The 21,850-nt window shown below is 37.9% G+C and overlaps 1 protein-coding gene and 1 pseudogene across 31 annotated transcripts in view, besides 2 other annotated features; both read left to right on the top strand.

Moving 5' to 3' along the window:
• The window catches only part of NSMAF (neutral sphingomyelinase activation associated factor), a 76,350-nt gene that overhangs the window by 50,092 nt on the left and 4,408 nt on the right, over positions 1-21,850 (top strand). For 18 of the 31 annotated variants that reach the window (NM_001144772.1, XM_047422320.1, NM_001412988.1 and 15 more), the window contains 17 exons: positions 29-158; positions 1,922-1,993; positions 3,727-3,835; positions 6,376-6,552; positions 7,625-7,704; positions 8,227-8,317; positions 8,414-8,477; positions 9,741-9,792; positions 9,892-10,012; positions 10,399-10,530; positions 11,860-11,902; positions 12,212-12,375; positions 14,103-14,202; positions 15,472-15,530; positions 18,828-18,895; positions 19,688-19,755; positions 20,187-20,310. In NM_001144772.1, the coding sequence (NP_001138244.1) occupies positions 29-158; positions 1,922-1,993; positions 3,727-3,835; positions 6,376-6,552; positions 7,625-7,704; positions 8,227-8,317; positions 8,414-8,477; positions 9,741-9,792; positions 9,892-10,012; positions 10,399-10,530; positions 11,860-11,902; positions 12,212-12,375; positions 14,103-14,202; positions 15,472-15,530; positions 18,828-18,895; positions 19,688-19,755; positions 20,187-20,310 (1,654 nt within the window). Of the gene's footprint in view, positions 1-28; positions 180-1,921; positions 1,994-3,726; positions 3,836-6,351; positions 6,553-7,624; positions 7,705-8,226; positions 8,318-8,413; positions 8,478-9,740; positions 9,793-9,891; positions 10,031-10,265; positions 10,531-11,838; positions 11,903-12,211; positions 12,376-13,686; positions 13,703-13,905; positions 13,963-14,102; positions 14,203-14,907; positions 15,025-15,471; positions 15,531-18,827; positions 18,896-19,687; positions 19,756-20,186; positions 20,311-21,850 lie in introns of those variants that run through there. The other 13 variants (NR_182087.1, NR_182084.1, NR_182086.1 and 10 more) reach the window with 13 other exon arrangements.
• Positions 13,537-13,586: an enhancer, noted in NCBI's record as "active region_27412". NCBI's record gives its function as "activates an Ori minimal core promoter by ATAC-STARR-seq in GM12878 lymphoblastoid cells {active_cell/tissue: GM12878}" and the evidence as "EXISTENCE:reporter gene assay evidence [ECO:0000049][PMID:35858748]".
• Positions 13,936-15,135: an enhancer, noted in NCBI's record as "MED14-independent group 3 enhancer chr8:59507186-59508385 (GRCh37/hg19 assembly coordinates)". NCBI's record gives its function as "activates an origin of replication core promoter dependent on BRD2, BRD4, P300/CBP and CDK7 cofactors, and independent of MED14, by STARR-seq in HCT116 cells {active_cell/tissue: HCT116}" and the evidence as "EXISTENCE:reporter gene assay evidence [ECO:0000049][PMID:35650434]".
• Positions 20,974-21,416, top strand: RPS26P7 (ribosomal protein S26 pseudogene 7; annotated as a pseudogene).

Here is a 21,850-nt window from a genome sequence, read left to right as displayed (position 1 = left end):
TTACTTTTGCTGAAAAACCTATTTTCAGGTTCCAAAACATTTCTGAAAAGCTGCACATGGAATGCAAAGCAGAAATGGTGACGCCTCTGGTGACTAATCCTGGACACGTGTGCATCACGGACACAAACCTGTATTTTCAGCCCCTCAACGGCTACCCGGTGTGTAGACCACAGGGTCAGGTGGGGAGCTGCCCATGTTTAAGCTGTTTCCAGACCATGGCCTCACAATGCCAGGGACCTCACTTTTTGATGAGGATCAAGTCATGTCCCTGCCCACCCCCTTCACAGGCAGCATCTGTGTATTTTACAAACACCGTGTGTAATCGTGATGTGTAGTCTCTGAAGTTTGAGTTCTTCTGATCTGTTTTCAGTCATGTCAGGGGCACTTGCTCTCAGTGTGGTGAAAAGAAACCCTGCTCCTCCCTATTTTAGTAAAGGGTCGCTAGAGATTTAGACCTTTCTTCTAGGAGGCATTTCCTAGAGACCAGTGAAATATACTATGATTAATAAGAAATAGATTTTGAAATATATTTGCTTATATATACACAGATGTTGGTATTTCTTGCTTCTTCTTAATGATGAACAACCTCAGTAGATCTGAATTTTTCCTGAAGGAGCACTATGAGCAGGTCCTCCCAGCTAGTGCAGAGGTGTGTGTGGAGATCCTGCCGTCTGGCAGTTATGGGCTCCTGCTAGGATGTTGGAAACAATCTTCTCTTTCACAATGACACAGACTTACAAGGCCAGAAAATAAATATAAACTTAGATATCCATGCTGAAACTTGTAAAGATTTGTTGCTTATCTAGATCTGGCCACTTTTTAGCATGATCCATTAAAAGAACAGAAATCCTAACACACCCTGGTAGTGCTGTGGGGCCATTTGGCAGGGCCCAAGAATTCTGCCAGAGAAAGTTCCACCTTGGAAATTCTCCAGGCTGGTCATTACAGGGCACTAAAACATCTCAAACTCTCCTGAGTGAAAGATTATGCTATAGTGATTGTGTCCACTAGGTGGTGGGGCTCACTTTCCTAGTTCTCCAGTAGACACTGCATGCTGCTAGCACAGCATTCTCAGGGAGTGTAAAAAATTGGCTTGGCTGCTACTATTGCTTGGGTCAGAAATTTTGAGAAAAAATGTCTGTGTACCCTAGCTTCACAATCCATGGTATGGGCCTTTACCCCTTCCCAATACTGGCCAGGATCCTTGACCAGTCATTTCCAAGACCTGACTCTGGGACTCCGGGGCAGTTTCCACTGTTGGACAGACTGACCTCTGCACACCCATCTTCCCTCCTACTTGGGAGGAGGACCACGGAAGCATAGCCATTAGCCAATCTCTGCCTTTTTAAACCTCCTTTCTCTCTTACTAGTGTTTTAAAATTATAGAAAAGCAAGACAATTTTCTTCTTCATTAACAAAGAAAAAATTCAGAGGCCTTGCTTTATACTTTAGTAATCTGTGAGCCTTAATACACTGTAATTTTTAATGAGATAAAAGACAGGATTCTTTAAAAAAGATGTGTGTCAGTACTAAGCAAACTATTTGTCTAAAAAAAGATAGCAAGATTCCTGAGAGGTTATTTATGCCAGTTCTTTATATTTCTTATCACCCCACAATCTAACCTGAAAGATATCACCCCACCCCAAACTAACCTGAAATATCCCTGAAAGATAGATGATTGCATTATCATTTGCAGGGTGCCACATGGCGGGGAGGAAGACTTGCCCAAGGTCATAAAGCTAGTGAAAGATGGCAGAGCAGAATGGGAAACCAGATATCACCTTGTTCCAAGATTTCCTTTTCCAATGGTTTATTAGGAAAGCAAGATTTGGTGATTTTTTTTTCCCCTTTCTGATACTATAGAACAACTTCTAATTGTGTCAGAACAATAATGTTTGAGATTGTCTTTCTACTTTTAAAGAAACCTGTGGTCCAGATAACACTCCAAGATGTCCGCCGCATCTACAAAAGGAGGCACGGCCTCATGCCTCTGGTGAGTCCTTGGGAGGCTGTGCTGGGGCATGATTGTCACACTTTCAGTTTAGCCAGCAGTTTATTGACGGTAAACACTTATGGGATGTCTGAAAGTACAAGTACACTGTCCTGTAAGAAAATAGACTCTGATTTTGCTGTTCTTTCTTTTGGAGAAGGTAGAAATTCATAAAGGAATAACTCTTTCATGTAGAGAAGAGGTTCTATTATGAAGTATTTTTGGCTCCAAGAGCAAGAGGGCTAGAGTGCCCTTGAGTTTCTCATTCGTGCATTCTCAGTTTCTGGGCTCAGGCTAGAATGATCTGTGTAAAACCAACCCTGTGCTGTACTTGCCTCCACCATTCATAGCAGCTAGGTCTCAAAGCAAAATCTGGAAGATGTTACAAAATTACTTCTTTAGTGGAACTAGTATATTCACAGTTAACTTACATTAATTCAACCTTTGGGCTGAATGACAAAATAACCATGTAAAATCATATAGGCAGTTCCTTCCACCATTCCCTGAATAAGTGTATTTCTATACTTAGGTCCTATTTCCGACACATGTCTTACTTTAGTAACCAATCCCTACAGAAGGTATGATTCCAAGTGTTTTAATTCGACACCAATAGAAATTCATTTTTTCTCCTTTGAAGATTAACCAGTAACTTGGTGACATTACAAAAGCATTGTGGAATTTTAATTCTTATTTTTGTGCTTTTAATTTGTGAAATTCTACTGTTTTGCTTCCTATTTTACTTAAAAGGCCATTCCTCCATTTCCAGCACTAATAGCAGATCAGGGAAACAGATACTATTAAAAATCTCCTCTTTTGGGTATAGAGCTGCAGTCAGAAAAAGAGAAGAAATTAACATTGATTAAGTGCTTTCTATGTAACAGGCAATTTATATATAATGTTTCATTTATTCGCCATTATAAGCCTTGTGAAGTAGATAGTATTGTATTTTACAGGTGAAGAAATTGAGACTCCGGGGGTTAACTTCCTAAGCTCCCAGCTAGTACATGGTGAAAGCCTGTATTTGAACCAAGGGTAGCTCTGGGCTTTCATCCTGGCTTTGTCTGTTCCTTTGCTAGCTCAGCCTTACTAACACTATGGTCACAAAGCTCATAGGTTTTTATAAGATAATAATAATGTATTAATTGAATGGGTTATTCAATTATCAATTTGTTAGGTGTGCATAATTTTTATTTATTAGCTGGGCATGGTGCGCCTGTAGCCTTAGCTACTCGAGAGGCTGAGGTGGGAGGATCAATTGAGCCTGGGAGTTTGAGGCTGCAGTGAGCGGTGATCACACCATTGCACTCTAGCCTGGGCAACAGAGCAGGACCTGGTCTCAAAATATATATATGTTATTTAACTTATGAAAGAAAGCTAGACATTTATGTTTGAAGAAGAGATGTGAAGACATGGATCAGCTATTTTTGAATTTCAAAATAACAAGTTCACAAAAGCTATTATTAATGAAAATATTCAACACTCAAGGTGATTTACAAAGTTTAGCTGAGATACTATCTTGTTCTCAAAACATTTATAAATACAACATATATATATATACGCAAACGTATATGTGTATATATATCACTGAGTTAAATTTATAGATTGAAAATAGGAATATAAGTTATAAAAATAAACACAAATGTTTAACTGAATGTTTTTGTAATTATATACTTATATTGGGATTGCAAGATGAATACAATGCTATTTATTTTATTATTTTCTTTTTGAATTTATAGGGCTTGGAAGTATTTTGCACAGAAGATGATCTGTGTTCCGACATCTACCTAAAGTTCTATGAACCTCAAGATAGAGATGATCTCTATTTTTACATTGCCACATACCTAGGTTTGGCGCTCACCCTTCATTGTTTCTTTCTTTTTTTTTTTTTTTTGGAGGCTGAGTCTCGCTCTGTCACCCAGGCTGGAGTGCAGTGGCGTGATCTCGGCTCACTGCAACCTCCGCCTCCTGGGTTCAAGTGATTCTTGTGCCTCAGCCTCCCGAGTAGCTGGGACTACAGGTGCCCGCTACCACGCCAGGCTAATTTTTTTTGTATTTTTAGTAGAGACAGGGTTTCTTTTCATATGAAGGTAGTTCAACTCCTAAGGATCTGGGATAGGAAATAAGAGAAGAAAAATGCTATTTGTAGAATCGCCTCTTTGTGGGTCTAATTTCTTCTCATCAGTAACTATAATTGCCAAAATAATATTTTTAAAATTCTGGGAAATATAAATTCACTTTGATAATAGTTCATTCTGAATGTATGTTTTAAAAACTCTAGATAAATATATTTAAATGCTCTTATATTTTAACGTCCTCCAAATTGAATGGATTTTGAAGAATCCACTCAAATATTTTTATGTTCAGTCAGGTCTTATATTAGTTTATGAGAACCAAGACTCAGTTTTGTACTGCGAGGCAGTGAGTTATTCATATGTTTGTGATCATTGATTGTGGTCAGAACCACAAAGCTGAAAGACTGCAAAAGGAACATGTGAACCTTCTATGCTCAATATACTGACTTTGGAGTGGAATTTGCTTTTAATTAATGATATTTCCTCAGTTTTCCATGGAAAATGTGAATTTTCCCACCTTTGCCAGAGAAAATACTTATATTATGATGTTCAAGCCCAAAGTTTTTTTATTACATTGCAAGGCTAAATTAAATTATTCTAGTTTACAAAGTTGCTAGATAACTGGAAAGGAATTATCTTTAAAAATGGATTTTGGGGCTAGGCATGGTGGCTCATGACTGTAATCCCAGCACTTTCGGAGGCCGAGGAGGGAGAATCTCTTGAGCCCAGGAGTTCGAGACCAGCCTGGGCAACATGGCTTGACCTCATCTCTACAAAAACAATTAAAAATTAGCTGGGACTGGTGGCGTGTGCCTGTAGTCCCAGCTACTCGAGAGGCTGAAGTGGGAGGATCGCTTGAGCCTGGGAGGTCAAGGCTGCAGTGGGCAGTGATCACACCACTGCAATTCAGCCTGGGTGACAGAGTGAGACCCTGTCTCAAAAAAACAAACAAACAAAAAAGGATATTGGGATTTTATTAATATCATCTTAATGTGTTTGTTATTTTAGTGTACCACAAAACTATTTGTGAAATTTGTAGTAAAGTACATCTTCCCTTAGAAATGAAATTTTACTTCAAGGAGGAATACTTGGCTTTCAGTAGGGAACATATTTTATTTTAAAGTAGGTTTATATATATATATTATATATATCTATGTAGTTATATATAGTTTATATATAGTTATATATAGCTAGTATTTTATTCATACATTAAGCTATTGAAGGTAACTTTATGTATAAGTATAGCTTTGTTACAAGTTTACTTTAATTTCCTGTCTCATGATCTAGGTTTTTAAATTTTATTTTTTTTAACTATAACAAGATTACAATAAAAAGATCAACTTTCATGGTGAGTCCTAAAATCTCAAGCCAAAAACTTTGCCATGATCTAAAATATCCATTTTCTAAGAAACTGTCAGTTCTCACTGAGTTTATTCCTAAGATTGTTCATACTTTTTCTGAGGGGTTTCAAAAGTAGAAAACGAGGGGGAAGTGTGTTTTGATTTTTGAAGCCCTTTCCTAGTAGCTGATTAAAGAAGAAACTTGGTAAAAGTAGATGAGAATAAATATTAAGAGTTAAGATGCTTAATGCATCAGGAAAGGTTGAAAGCAGAATTTTCTGAACAAAATGGAAAATCCACTTGTAGGACAGTTAATTCATTTTACACTCTGAAAGGGAAGTTCTCATTGCTGCATTTATCTAAGATCTCATTTTTCCTGAGGTATTTCAGGGGGCAGGTCTGGTTCTTTTAGTTTGAGAATTGGTCCTCCTGCCAAACGCCTGTTTTCTTCTTTAACAATTTCTTTTCTTTTCCTTAGTCTTCACATGCATAAATAATATGTAGTCATTGACAAATTAGCAGTAGTACATCTCTTCCAAGCCTAAAAGAAAACTAAAAGATTGCTTTAATTTCATAAATAATAAAAGAAATAAGCTTTCCCAGATGGCCATGGGTTTTTAAATGCATGGAGACAGCACATTTGGAGGGATTCTTTGTTACTGTATAAATATTACCTATTAACATGTAATATTTATATATTTGCGCTACACTTTTGTATTTGTTTAGGTTATGTCATATTGTGGAGGGTAGTGTAATAGCTCAGTGTATTTAATAATTTCCCCTCCTTGATCTTGGAACTGTTTATACATAGCTGAACAAATACTTTATGAAAACAAGTCAGCAGCCTACTTTTCTTTTTCTTACAATGCATTTTTCAAGAATGCACAGGGATGGTCTACACGTTAAGCCCCTAGCTTTTGCATACTAAGTTTGCGAAGTTAAGTGGCAGACCTCGTGGGTCCTCTTCCCCCAGAGCACCATGTGGCGGAGCACACTGCTGAGAGCTACATGCTGCAGTGGCAGCGTGGACACCTTTCCAACTATCAGTACCTCCTTCACCTCAACAACCTGGCCGACCGCAGCTGCAACGACCTCTCCCAGTACCCTGTGTTTCCATGGATAATACATGATTATTCCAGCTCAGAACTAGGTAACTGCCACACGTGGAATTCTGACCAAGTTGAGTGGGGAGTAGTCATCTGTATTGTTTTTAAAGGACAGAATAAATTCTATTTTATAATTGTGATGTGACATGTGAACAAATTACAACTCATTTCAGTTGTATTGCTAAGGACTGCCAATTTCCATTCCAGGATACTATATAAGTGTTACGTAAGTGTTTCATGTATGTTTTTTCCACCATACTTCTTGAAGGACACACACAGAAAAAATGGGCATGATTTTAACCCAGGGTTATCATTATTACCTATAAGTACCACGTTTTGAAATATTTGCTTCTCACTTTGAAAATTTCACTCACCTTATATTATTTTTAAAAATCACATTAAAAACTGTGATTATTTGTTATAGAACACTTGGAAAGTCCTGAAATAATCAAAGAAGAAAATTAAAATCATCCATAATTATATTACAGAGATAACCACTTTACCTTTGGGGTATATCTACTCTTCTCTTGCTACCACAGATTATTTTAAGAAAAATGTAATTGTATTGTAACTTTATTTTGTAATATTTAAAAATTATATATTGTGAACAGTTAGTTCCTCTTGACACATTATCTTGAACCTTTGTCCTTGAAAGAGATAATAGATTTTCTAGAAATATGATAAAGTATTTCTCTGAAAATATTTAGCTCACTAGTTCTCAAATAGGCTAATATTGAAGAATAATAATATTCACTAGAATTCGAATGTAGAAAGTAAATCTTGGTAGAAGAATAATGGCTTTTAAAATTTTGTTGTTGTTGTTGTTTTACTTGGAATATATATATGTTCCTTAATCAGAAACTTTTTTAAAAAAATTAATGTTCAGGGCATTGTCAAATTAGAGATATTGCTCTTAAGTGGTTGTGTCTAACTTAAAACTCAAAATTGCTAACCTTTTCTTTACATCTACATAAATAACTAACAAAAATAACTCTCATGGATTGCTCTCAATTTTTAAAAAAACTTTTGTGGAAGTAAATGTGTATATTTGAATTAATTCAGGAGGTTAATGGTACTAAGTATAAGCTGAAGTTATTTATTGATTTATGTTTATAGATTTGTCAAATCCAGGAACCTTCCGGGATCTCAGTAAGCCAGTAGGGGCCCTAAATAAGGAACGGCTGGAGAGACTACTGGTATGTGGACTTAGAGATTCTTGGTTTCTAAGCAACACGAGAAGCCATGGCCTGTGTTTTTATGGAAGGAAATTCGTTTCTCCAAGGCTTAGGGGAATTATACCAGTGACTCTACGTAGAGTTTTTTCTTACTTTTCTCCTGACCGTGAATTAGCTGCTCACCATTTGCATTTCTTGTCTGCAGTTTAGGAAGGAGGAGGGCAACCTGTTTACAGGTTCACTGAATTATTTTCATGAAGGCATTCTGTGGTAAATCGCATAAGAGACACATAAAATCAGTTCTATTTAATCTAGTGCCAACATTTTGTTACCATTAAGCCAGGGAAACCAAAATACTTGTCTCAGGAATGCTGTTTAGCCACAGATTTTCTTTCCCTCTTATCTTCTCCTTTTCTTATCTAACAGAGAAATTAAGGAATATGGTATATCTATGTTATGATTTCTTTTAGGCTTTTTCTACTTGTCAGTTATTATTTCATAGCCAACACTTAGCTCTATTTTTTTTTTTTTTCTGTATTCTAGACACGCTACCAGGAAATGCCTGAACCAAAGTTCATGTATGGGAGTCACTACTCTTCCCCGGGTTATGTACTTTTTTATCTTGTTAGGATTGGTAAGATTCTTTATCATTACCCCCAATTAAATTTTATTTCACTGTATTCTTCAATGATTCTGTGACCTGACTTACCTCTGACTTTTTCCCCTCTAGCACCAGAGTATATGCTGTGCCTGCAGAATGGAAGATTTGATAATGCAGATAGAATGTTCAACAGGTTTGATACAAATGCCTTGCTTATCATTTTTAACACTTTCTGATTGTATATATACAACATACTTGTTTCAAAGCACTGGATATAATAAAAAAGTAAAGAAATGTAAAAAATCACTAATTGTTCTATCTATTCCTCTCAGGCTTTTTCTAGACATGTATATGTGTGTGTAAATGTGAGAACATATTTTATGTACAGCTTTTTGTCCTACCTTTTGTAGCCTAATATTAAATCTTAAAGTTTTTCCCATATTATTAGATATTCTTCAAAACAATGATTCTTTTTTAAAATTATTGTATCACATTCTAACATATGCCATATTTTATGTCAACTTCTTTTCTCCATTGTTGGGCATTTAGATTGTTTCCCACACTTTATTATTCTTGATAATTTTGCTGTGAATTGAATACAGCTCCCTGTGTGTATTTAGATGGCTTTACTTTTTAAATTATAAAAGTAATATTTTCTTGCCAAAAAAATCAGCAACTATAAAAAAGGAAATAAGTTTACTTGGTATCCCACCACACTGAGATAATAATTGTTGTAAATTTTTTGGTATGTCCTTTTCATTTTTTTTGAACTCTACACATATCTAATAATAATTCCTTTTGCAATGAGCCATTCAGATAGTGGTGCTAATCTTTTTTTTTTTTTTTTTTTTTTTTTGAGACAGAGTCTTGCTCTGTCGCCCAGGCTGGAGTACAGTGAGCAGAATCTCAGCTCACTGCAACCTCCGCCTCGGGTTCAAGCGATTCTCCTGCTTCAGTCTCCTGAGTAGCTGGGACTACAGGCGCATGCCACCACGCCCAGCTAATTTTTGTATTTTTAGTAGAGATGAGGTTTCACCATGTTGGCCAGGATGGTCTTGATCTCCTGACTTCGTGATCCACCCGCCTTGGCCTCCCAAAGTACTGAGATTACAGGTGTGAGCCACCGCGCCCTACCAGTGGTGCTAATCTTTCAGTGTGGAGGCACCCTGCTCCATTTGGCCCTTGGATGAGGCAATGTGTATATGGTAGCTAATGGTGTGGACTCGGACTCTATGCCCACTCCCGCCATGTGACCCTGGAGAAGTTACATAAACTCTCTGGGCCCCAGTGTTCCCTTTTGTTAAAGTGGGACACTCAGAGAGATGGTTAGAACTATGTGGAAATGACAAACAGAAGTTAATACAGGTAAAGTGTAGAACAGCCCCCAAGTGCATAGGAAATGCTGCTATTGCTATTTCCTTAGCTGAAAATAGGTGAATTTTTTTTTCATATGTAGTATTGCAGAAACTTGGAAAAACTGTCTGGATGGTGCAACGGATTTTAAAGAGGTAAGCAGTTAATAAAGCTGATGAGTAACTGGACTTGGGGTTTCTAACTGCTTTAAAACATGTTTGTTGTTCTTTTTTATTTTTCCCCGAAACTTTCAGTTAATTCCAGAATTCTATGGTGATGATGTGAGCTTTCTAGTCAATAGCCTGAAGTTGGATTTGGGAAAGAGACAAGGAGGACAGATGGTTGACGACGTGGAGCTTCCCCCTTGGGCTTCCAGTGAGTCCCCCCTTGGAGGTGTTGTATTATAGACATGCTTTACCAAGTAGTGCAATTTCAGTAATTATTTTATTGCTTAGATTTTTAAAAATCACAATATAATTCTCTAAATAAGGATATATGAGCCCTATTCCATATCAGAAGTATTCTATGAGTCTGTGATGTAAAAACATTAATATATATTTGAGAGACCTTAATGTGAAAATGATTCTTGCCACTTTTTTCCCCAAAAAACTTACATTTCATATGATAGAAAAAGAAAACTGCATTAAGAAATATGGACCTCTTGCCTGTCCTAGAAGCTTTATATACATATAGATAGACAAGAGAAATGGGAGGAAAAAAATGAAGACTCCATGATTTTTCGATTGAGTCTAATCTAATAGGTCCCGAGGACTTTCTCCAGAAGAGCAAAGATGCATTGGAAAGCAATTATGTGTCTGAACACCTTCACGAGTGGATTGATCTAATATTTGGCTACAAACAAAAAGGGAGTGATGCAGTTGGGGCCCATAATGGTATGTAATATTCATTGAAATTTTATTTAGCATTGGGTGAATATTTAGCATTATTCATTTTCATTGGAAAATGAAAGCAAACAATACCAACAAAAAAATGAGGCCAAAGCAATTAGTCTTATTTCTTCAGTGGAAGCATGTTCTGTCAGACTCCAGCGTCCACTGGCTGCATGACCCTGGATCAGATATTTTTTTGGTTTTCTTTTTGAGATGGAGTCTTGCTCTGTCACCAGGCTGGAGTGCAGTGACACAATCTTGGCTTACTGCAACCTCCGACTCCCTGGTTCGAGTGATTCTACTGCCTCAGCCTCCCGAGTAGCTGGGATTACAGGCACCTGCCATCATGCCCAGCTAATTTTTTTGTATTTTTTTTGGTCGTGACGGTTTCACCATGTTGGCCAGGTTGGTCTCAAACTCCTGACCTCAGGTGATCTGCCCACCTCGGCCTCCCAAAGTGCTGGGATTACAGGTGTGAGCCACTGCGCCCAGCCCCTGGATTAGATATTGAGTAACTGACAAGGAGGGAGGACTTTTGCCCAAATAATACCAAATTCATCCTGGCCCCAAGAGGTCTTTTTATAAAGTCTTCTAATTTTAGCATATACTCTACATCCCACTGAATAATTTCAATTAAAACTCTATTACAGTGTGATAGAACAGTGGCCTCAATTCCTATGGAAGACCCAGAGTTTCTTTTCCTTTTCTTTTCTTTTTTTTTTCTTTTTTTTTTTTTTTTTTTTTGTTTGAGACAGAGTCTTGCTCTGTCACCCAGGCTGGAGTGCAGTGGTGCAGTCTTGGCTCACTGCAACCTCTGGCTCCTGGGTTCAAGCAATCCTCCTGCCTCAGCCTCCCAAGTAGCTGCCAGAGTTTTTTTTTTTAATTTAACAGAAAATAGCAGCAATATACCTTCTCTTCAGTTTCAATGCTTATCTTCTTCCACGTTTCTCATGTGTGTTTTCTTTTTTTAATAAATGAACTCACATATAATCCATATCGCCCATGTTCATAACAAGGAGCTGTAGCTGGAAATTCAGACCTAATTTTTTACATGGAAATTCCGTCTTATTAATTCTATAAGTCATGCTTCCTCTCAGGAGAAAACAATGCTGACTGAGATGACAGGTCCTCTACCTGACAAGTAGATTTTTGTTCATCTGAAGATAATATTCAAGTTGGTATTTACTGCAGTTGGATATTAGTCTGTTTTGCAAAGTGAATAGCAATTTCTTTGAACATGAGTTTTAAGTTGTTGCATTGTTTAGGTTCTAAACAGTGTATATTACATTGAAATAGCACATCTTTCAATAGTGTTTTGTATGTCTTTTTCAGTATTTCATCCCCTGACCTATGAAGGAGGTGTAGACTTGAACAGGTACTTATATGTCAATAAGGAGTTTCTACTTGAGTTATAAGATATGTCTTTATCTAAATTATTAATGTATTTATTTGAAGGTTGAGGTATGGAAATTTTAAAATGAATTCTATCTTGCTTTCACTGTTGTGTTACTGAGCATCAGAAAATATTCTGAAGGTCTATAATGAGGTTTAGACAATCCTGGTACATAGTTGCTGTCATTATTTGAGGGTTAGTCCCTCCTATTGATCAGTACTATTTGAAATGCGTGCTTTCAAGGAACTCGAACCTAGTGGTTCACTGCATTATTTGTGTTCTGTCCCAAAGCATCCAGGATCCTGATGAGAAGGTAGCCATGCTTACGCAAATCTTGGAATTTGGGCAGACACCAAAACAACTATTTGTGACACCACATCCTCGAAGGATCACCCCAAAGTTTAAAAGTTTGTCCCAGACCTCCAGTTATAATGCTTCTATGGCAGATTCCCCAGGTAAATTTTGTAAAGAGAATAAACGTGAGCACCTTTTGTTTCTCTTCTGTGATGAAAATGTTTCTGAAGAGGAGATAAGACGTATACTGTTGTGCTACTTAGAGATGATTGTGTTCTCCTGCCTTATTGCAGTTCTCCTGAAAACAGATACCTGTTTTTGCTGATGTTGTTTGTTTTCAGCTATAGACTGTAAGGGAAATCAAATCGCTTTTATTTTCTGGCAATTGAATATGAGTGAAAGTTGGCCATATATGTTTTGATGTGGTTCTCTTTCTCTTCTGTGGTTTTGAAGCTGGTGTTTGATCCTTAGCTATTTGCCTTTTCATTCTTACAGTCCTAGCTGTCCAGTCTGCCTTCCCAGTCACTGTCAGCCCTGCTGTCTTCCAGAAGGGACTTTCTCTGGCCCTAATTATGCTCTTCTATACCCACATACAGATCTTTTTTTTTTTTTTTTTTGAGACGGAGTCTTGCTTTGTCCCCCACGCTGGAGTGCAGTGGCGCCATCTCGGCTCACTGCAAGCTCCGCCTCCCGGGTTCACGCCGCCGTTCTCCTGCCTCAGCCTCCTGAGTAGCTGGGACTACAGGCGCCCGCCACCACGCCCGGCTAATTTTTGTATTTTTAGTAGAGACAGGGTTTCACTGTGTTAGCCAGGATGGTCTCGATCTCCTGACCTCGTGATCCACCCTCCTCGGCCTCCCAAAGTGCTGGGATTACAGGCCTGAGCCACCGCGCTCGGCCCCACATACATCTTGAATTCAAAGTGCTCTCTCTTCTTCATTGGATTTCACTTATTTAACATTTGACAAACATTTACAGGGTATCTGTTCTGCGCTGGGCATGTGCTAGGCACTAAATTGAACTTGACCCAGTTCTCACATCTAATATTTGGAAAGGTAGGAAAGAACACTCACCTTTCTCCAGTTACCCAGGTTTTAGATTTTACCTAAGACAACTTCAAACCTACAGGCTTCCAGAAGGAGGTTGACACTCTGTGGAGCTTTGGGAGCAAAATCACTTTTTATCTCCTATCCTCCTGTCTGTTCCAAGGACATCCAGACATTTTAGGCATACATAGATGAGCATTCTCTCAAGCATGGAGAAATAGCTTCCTGGAGTTACATGACCCAGGGGTAGCTTCTTTAAGAGAGAATACTCTAGAGGGTTAAATCATGAAGATCACAGGATTATCTTGTGATGCTGTTTCAAACTGCACTCTGCTTAGTCACCAGGCTGTAACCACTGTCATGTGATTGTTTTAAGATGGTAATTGTTTCAGCCCTTCTTAAAGCAGAAGTAAAAGGATTACTCCTGCCAGAAGCCCTTGCGGTAATTGATTTCATCTCTGCTTTCCCCACCCCACACCAGAACAAAATTGTTGCATTCTTAGGCAACTGTCAGGTTTTTGAAACAATGTTGACAAGGAAATGATGACTCAGTCTTGTATTTCCCCAAATTCATAAGTTAGAGGCCGAGTGAAAACTTTGCAAACATTGTTAAAGTATAAAAAGATTCTAGTATTATTCAAAGATACTTTTTATCTTTCTCTATACAATTTTTTCCTTGACTAACGTGGAACCATCTAACAGGTACATTTCAAAGCAGTTATATTGTGACAGGGTGTTTCATTTCTTAGTTGTTTGATTTTAATAGAAAATATTGTTAATCTGATGCTGTTGTCTGTTGGTAACTTAGTTGACTTAGCAAAAATTTAATGTCGTCTCTCCAGGTGAAGAGTCTTTTGAAGACCTGACCGAAGAAAGCAAAACACTGGCCTGGAATAACATCACCAAACTGCAGTTACACGAGCACTATAAAATCCACAAAGAGTAAGAATATCTCTGCTTCTTCTCAGCAGCTGATAGTCCTGGTAAAAGTTAGGGTCTTGGCATGGGATTAAACTGTTTTAAGCTGAGTCAGAGGGAAAATTCCCTTTCAATGTTGTCTTTATTTTTAAAAATCTCCCCAAAATGTCTATAGTGATCTCCACCTGAGGTTGATGTAGTAGGGAAAGTTTGGCACGAAATGATTTGTGGTGGCTACCGTGCTGTCATTTCTGCAGTCTGTCACTTCACAGTACAAGATGTGGTCGGCAGAGAGCAGCCAGTTTTGTGCCTCTCAAATTGGAGTACACAGCTCCTTGAATCTTTGATGGGAGAAGTGTGATGTATACCCCACGAGTGTTGGATTTACACATAATGTAGGTGAAAAGGCACCTTTTAAAAAAATTAGCTCTCCCAGAGAACATTGCAAAGTTCACATGAATTTTAAAAATAATTATGCTTCTAAGAAATTGGGCTTGCTGTTGGACCCAGAGATGATATGTGTGTTCTCTGCCCTCTCTCATTAAGACCTTCATGTTCTCTGGTAGAAAGGCTCGAGAAGCACTGACCTAGCCTGTTCATCCTGCTACAGAGAGGAAACCCAGGTCCAGAGACTAGGCCCCACCTAGCTCCATGACGACAGACAGCCCCTCCGGCATACAGGTCATGGGTGGAGCTGGGCATACTGCTGTGCATTAGATGGATGGCTTCACATCACAGTCCAGCCTCCCGAAGAGAAACAAGGAGTTTTGGCTGATTCATGATGACAATGGCTGTCTTTTCTCAACTTCTCTAAATGGCACATAGGAAGGGACCTTGTAATCCAAGGTAGTGAAGACTGAATGATCCTTTAAGAGGACAGGCTGGAACCAATTTTCTCATCATTGAATAGTCACTGAGTAAATTAGCTTCAGTAATCAGCAAGTGAAGTGACTGTGAAGAAGAGTTTGTCCTTTTGGTGATGGTCAAACGAGGGGGAATAGAAGGAGAAGAGTTTTCCAATTGCCAGAAATTGTCAGGAATATGTAAAGCATTGCATGTGGAACACAGGGAAGCAAAGAGTGGGGATGTTTTCTAGCCACAGGCGTTGCCAGAACGTTAGAAGGTGCCAAGCAGTGATTTGGTAATGGCAGGTTTATGCTGGGACAGATCCGGCAGACATGCTGTGAAGAAAAAAATTAAGGAAACTTGGTAAAATTAAATCAAGGATATGAAACAAAGAGGGTATCCTAACACATGATGAGTAGTAATTTGTGAAACTTTGTTTTTGAGCAGAGCAGTTACTGGAATCACGGTCTCTCGCAATGGATCTTCAGTATTCACAACATCCCAAGGTCAGTGTTCCTCCCCGAAAGGCGGCTTAACCAAAATCCTAGAATGTCTGAGTTCTTTATTATTTAGCTCGTGGTCAAGGACTGCACTTGCATGTGCTGCCTCCACATAAAGTAAACTTAGAGCAGTTCCTTTGTGGTACATTACATAGAGTTTCATGGTAATTTGCCAAAAATAATAATGAAACATCTTTCTGTTGCTGATGAGGTTTCCCAGAGTTGAGGATAGAGGACAGAAACAGCCTCCTTTCCACACCCTTGCTGGGTCAGGCACTTCCTGCCTGCCCATGAGAGGTGCGCTGTCCACTTGTTGGGGTTGGCTGTGAGTAGCAAGTGCTGTATCAGAAATTGATGTGTGCCTGTCAGCACGTGGAAATGCAGATTTGCTGTTACGGTTTGCAGTTTTGTCATTCAGTGTATATTTCTTCGGGATATTTGATTTAGCTCAAAATCAAATTCATGTATTATTTAATATGCTTATACATTATCAAAATTATAAAAACCCTTGCAGTGTGTCATTGATATGACTTATAGCTGTAAAGCAGAAAGCATCCCTTACTATATACACCATTGTTCTCTCCCTGGTAGTCTGCATTATATATTATTCATTAAAGTATGTCTTGGCCTTGTCATGTTGAGAGCACTGTGTTGGCACTCTGGAAGATGCAGAGATGGAAGGGTAGTATCTTTGCTTCCTGCTTCCATGAGAAAACAACTTGTTCTGACAAAGTTTGTAACTTTATAAAGTAAGGCTACTCGTTATTTAGTCTTTATCATAGGAGATTATATTTTTCATTCATTAAGACAAAGTGCTATCCAACTAAACACTTTCAGGAAAATCAGAATTACTACTCTCAGATTCTGTTATCATTGTTTATGATCTGTAGCATTTCATTCTGTTCTTTTTCAAATACTGTCTTGGATTGTATATAAAAAAATTTTCCACAAAGCATAGAAGTGATTCTACACAGTAGATCAAAAGGAAGTTCATGTGCAGTTCCCAAACTGGGCCATGCCAGGGTCACCGAGGCACTTCTCTGATAGAAGGAAGCAATCTGTATTTTGCCAGGATTTCTACCTGTGGAGTTTGCCAAAAATTATAGCCTCAGACAAAGTGCTTTATCTTTAAGCAAAACCTGTGTTCTTAGCAGGATTTGTCTGGGATGGCTTGTTAAATCGTTCAGCACAGTTGTACTTGTATGACCTTGTTAACCATGAATTTGATGAGCGTTGTGGCTTCAAACCACTGAGGCTTATTAAGCATTATGTCACTCCTCTGTGGATTTTCACAATAAAGGAGAGAGAGGTTTTTTTTTTGTTGTTGTTGTTTTTGTTTTTGTTTTTTTTTGAGACAGAGTCTTGCTCCGTCGCCCAGGCTGGAGGGCAATGGCACGATCTTGGCTCACTGCAACCTCCGCCTCCTGGGTTCAAGCGATTCTCCCGCCTCAGCCTCCTGAGTAGCTGGGTTCACAGGCACCCACCATCGTGCCTGGCTAATTTTTGTATATTTGTAGAGATGGGGTTTTACCATGTTGGCCAGGTTGGTCTTGAACTCCTGACCTCAGGTGTTCCACCTGCCTCGGCCTCCCAACGTGCTGGGATTACAGGCATGGGCCACCACGCCCGGCCGAGAGAGTTTAAAAATAAAGTCAAAAGCTTTTGTTTTTTTCTGTTTGTTTTTCTCATATTTAGATTTTCATAATTCATATTACTGATTTATATGTATCCTGATGGTCACCCCAAAATTACATATCTTCTTCTAGTATACAGTATGTTTAGGTATGTGGGCAGGCACAGAACCCACCACTTATGAGCTTAGCTTTTACTGCAGTCTTTAACATGATGACCTCTAGTACAGGGGATCCTTGATTTCAAGAAAAACGTCTTTTTTTTTCTTTTATTATTTTCTTTTTCCATTTTTTTGGTTCCCTGACTGAGAAATGAACCCAGGCTGCTGCAGTGAGAGCACCAAATCCTAACCACTAGACATCAAGGAGAGAAAAACATCTTTATAGAACCGACTGGTTTCTGGTTTTTTTTGTAGGATGTCTCAAATTAATCATCTTAAATAGATTTTGTGGTGAATGCTCAGAATTGCCTAAGAGAATCAAAAGCAAGGTTGGGAAGACTATCAGATCTAATTATACTGCTCAGGGGAAAGTTCAAGTGATACTGTGTTCATTCTTCTGTTTTCGTTTTCAAATTAATGCTGAAGAATATCTTATTGAGGCTCATGTTTATAAATTGTCAGGAATTCTGTGTGTTGGGGTTGCAAAAATTGGGTTGAATTATTAAGTTATACTGTGCAGAAGAAATTATTTAAAGATCATTCCGACATCACGTTGTGTAAGTTAGAAAATAGATTGTTACATATCTCAAATATAGGATGTCTGAAGCACATTAGAGCCTTGTAATTTGTGAGTCTTGGGTTTTAAGAGGTTGTTTTGAGGCCGGGCACAGTTACTCACACCTGTAATCCCAGTATTTTGGGAGGCCGAAGGGGGCGGATCACTTGAAGCCAGGAGTTCGAGACCAACCTGGCCAACATTGTGAAACCCAGTCTCTACTAAAAATACAAAACTTAGCCAGCCGTGGTGTGCACGTCAAAAAATCCCAGCTATTCGGGAGGCTGAGGCACAAGAATTGCTTGAATCTAGGAGATGGAAGTTGCAGTGAGCCAAGATCACACCAATGCACTCCAGCCTGGGCAACAGAGTGATACTGTGTCAAAAAAAAAAAAAAAAAAAAAAAAAGGAAGGTTTCTGTTACACAAGAAAATTAAATGCTTGGATTTTTAATTTCTACTTTATTATTATTTAGAAAGTCAGTGGTTCCCTTCTATAACTAATGTTCAGTGCAAGGGTATCACACTTAACTATATATAATTGGGCAGTTTTTTTAAAGAAAACATATTGCCAAGATCTTTTTGTCTTATTTAGTATTAAAATTACTGTTTCATTGTTACTATTAAAATTGCTATTTTCCTCCCTGTAACTTTCTGCATATACCAGCTACCACATTTCTGCCTGCAGTCATGCTGAAATGTCAACAGTATACCTACCATGTCTGTGCTGGATTTTTAAATTGATGTTTTTGTCATGGGGTTACAGGTCATAGAATCTTAATGTTGGATGAGGCCTTAGGTCATCTAGCTCTGTTTACATTCGGTTTTCCATAAGATTATACTTTGGAGTATAAAGTGTACTGTTGGCCACCAGGAACAAGAAGAGCAGCTGTTCTTTGACGTCTGTAATGGTTAGGAAATCTTTCTTATATATCTACTTCTCATTATTAAATTAGATTCCACCTTGAAGATGTTTTCTAAAGAATCAAAAATGCTACAAAGAAGTATATCATTTTCAAATATGGTGAGTTCATTTTAATAGTATTATGATAGAAATCCGTGTAGTAGTTTGTTTTATACACACCCATACAATAATACTTTATTTCTCCCAAAACAATTGAGTTTATTCCTGTGTAGTAAATCTACCAGATACCTTAGTTAGATTACTTCTAATTTCAATGTAAAATTTTTTTCAGGTTACCACTTTCTCTTACTGTTGTGATTTCATTTTTAGCTTAAAATACTTGGAGAGCTACCCAGTAGAATTCTACTTAAATAAACCTCTCCCTTTTTTAGCTGTCAGACTAAATGTTATGTGCTACTTAATTTATGCATCTCTGAGTTGGTAGGATATCTAATATGACAAAACCAATTCTTCTGAAAGAACACATTTTATTTTTAATGTAAATCATGCAAAAGATCTGGAAATTCTCTGAAGAATTTTGGAAGGTTTTCTTACCCACACAAGTCTGTAGTCCAGAGGGGGTATTTTCTTTCTTGAGGATCATCCCCAGTCTGCCCCCAACTGGAGATTTACTCCAGAGTGTGAGTGGGCTTCTTCCAGCCCAGGGCAGGACCCTGGAGAGTCATCAGGCTAGGTCGTAAATACCCTTGACATACATGGACATTCCTTCCTGCATTTGGGAAAAAACCCTACAGCTGGAATTAGCCAGTTGAGAAAATCTGCGTAAATAGGAGGAGAGCCACATAAAGACGATTTGAGCATTAATTTTTCGGAAATGTATAAGATAGCTTTACTGTGTTAGAGACTTACTAATTATTATAGATTGTTAACGTCAAATCATTTGTATTTCAGGCTTTATCGTCTTGTTTACTTTTACCAGGAGATGCCACTGTCATAACTTCTTCATGGGATAATAATGTGTATGTATCTGTGCACCCTGCTCTGTGATTCGACGTGCAGAATAGCTGCCTCTGTGGACATGAGGTGTGAAAAGCCAGAAGCTTTCCCTGCCAGGACACAGCACTGTTTTCTAAAGGGAACAGATATTAGAGATGAGGACAGTATGGTTGGATTTGAATATGATTGCTTAGATTGAATAATTTCTCCAATTGGAGTCTGTTTTTCTCTAAGTTTTAAATTGAGGAGAAAACAGATGAGCCAGACATGGAAATTTCTAATTTTAAATTCAAATTTTGAATATTTTGATTTAGTAATTTGAGAACAAGCAATTTGTAATTCTAGTGAGCCTTAGTAAGTATAGAATGAAACAACATAATGTTTCTTTAATATATGTTTAGGAGCCTTAAAATTAAGCCAGACTACTGTTTTAATGCTTCTCATTATCTTTTAGCTATTTTTATTCCATAGCATTTGGAAGACGCCAGGACACGTTAATGGGACATGATGATGCTGTTAGTAAGATCTGTTGGCATGACAACAGGCTATATTCTGCATCGTGGGACTCTACAGTGAAGGTTCATATATAATTTAAAAAGTTTTTTTAACTTGGTGTGCTATATGGCATATGTATAATTTTTAGCTTAAAATGTACATACAGATATTATAAGCCACTCAACTACCTATTGCTAATGTGTTCAGTCACTCCACTCTTTTTCACAAAGCGTGTGAGTGTAAGGATATTGAATGTTATTGCCTGTGTTTAAAAAATACATATAAAATATATCTATAATATATATTTATATATTATTTATATTTAAAATATAATATCTGTTATATATTACATATATTTATATATTTTTATTTATATAATACATATTATATATTTTTTAAACACAGGCAATAACATTCAATATCCTTACGTATCACATACTTTGTGATATGTACATTCTTTTTATTTTTTGTTTAAAAAAAACACTTCCTTATTTACTTATTTTTTTTAGAGACAGTGTCTTGCTCTGTTACCTAGGCTGGGGCTAGAGTGCAGTAGTGGGAATTATAGCCACTTCTTAATATAATAAGTTTATCATGATTTCTGTACTGTGTATTCCATTGTGGGATGAATGGTCTAGCATTCATTCAATAGCAGAGTTAGAAAGAAATGTATAGTAGCAGCCCCTTTCATCTGCCATGATCAGAAATATTAGTTGATTATAGTTAATTAGAAAATGTCAAGTTAGCTCTCTCCGGTCCGTGCCTCCAAGATGACAAAGAAAAGAAGGAACAATGGTCGTGCCAAAAAGGGCCGCGGCCACGTGCAGCCTATTCGCTGCACTAACTGTGCCCGATGCATGCCCAAGGACAAGGCCATTAAGAAATTCGTCATTCGAAACATAGTGGAGGCCGCAGCAGTCAGGGACATTTCTGAAGCGAGCATCTTTGATGCCTATTTGCTTCCCAAGCTGTATGTGAAGCTACATTACTGTGTGAGTTGTGCAATTCACAGCAAAGTAGTCAGGAATCGATCTCGTGAAGCCTGCAAGGACCGAACACCCCCACCCCAATTTAGACCTGCGGGTGCTGCCCCACGTCCCCCACCAAAGCCCATGTAAGGAGCTGAGTTCTTAAAGACTGAAGACAGGCTATTCTCTGGAGAAAAATTAAATGGAAACTGTACTTAAAAAAAAAAAAAAAGAAAATGTCAAGTTAAAGTGAGGAATCATTAAAAGACACATTTTATTTAAACTGAAAATATCTGAATGCTCATTCATTCACCATTCTTTCGATGTAGGAATATGTTCAGTCTTTTCTTTGAAATCTTACACAAACCACGCCAGCTTTCATTATTTTCAGTTTCTATTTTGTGTTGGTGTAAAAGAAAGCAAGAACCTAAAATTGTTAGAATTCCTCCAGGAGTTTTTCAGAATTTTTCTTCCATTCTTTTAGATAAGTTTATTTGCCTGTACCTATTTTTAGTTATTTTGGGGGTAACATCCTTTTTGGTCTTCCCAAAACATTAATAGTGTTCTCAAGACACTGTAATACTTCTACACTCATATTTCCTTAGTTCACATACTAAAGTCACACGATTACAGCAGCAAGTGCAGGTGATAGAAA

This window comes from Homo sapiens, chromosome 8 (genome assembly GCF_000001405.40).
Source record: "Homo sapiens chromosome 8, GRCh38.p14 Primary Assembly".
In the NCBI taxonomy this organism is placed as follows: domain Eukaryota; kingdom Metazoa; phylum Chordata; class Mammalia; order Primates; family Hominidae; genus Homo; species Homo sapiens.
Note: the sequence above shows the minus strand (reverse complement) of the source record. Positions and strands in the feature narration are given on the sequence as shown.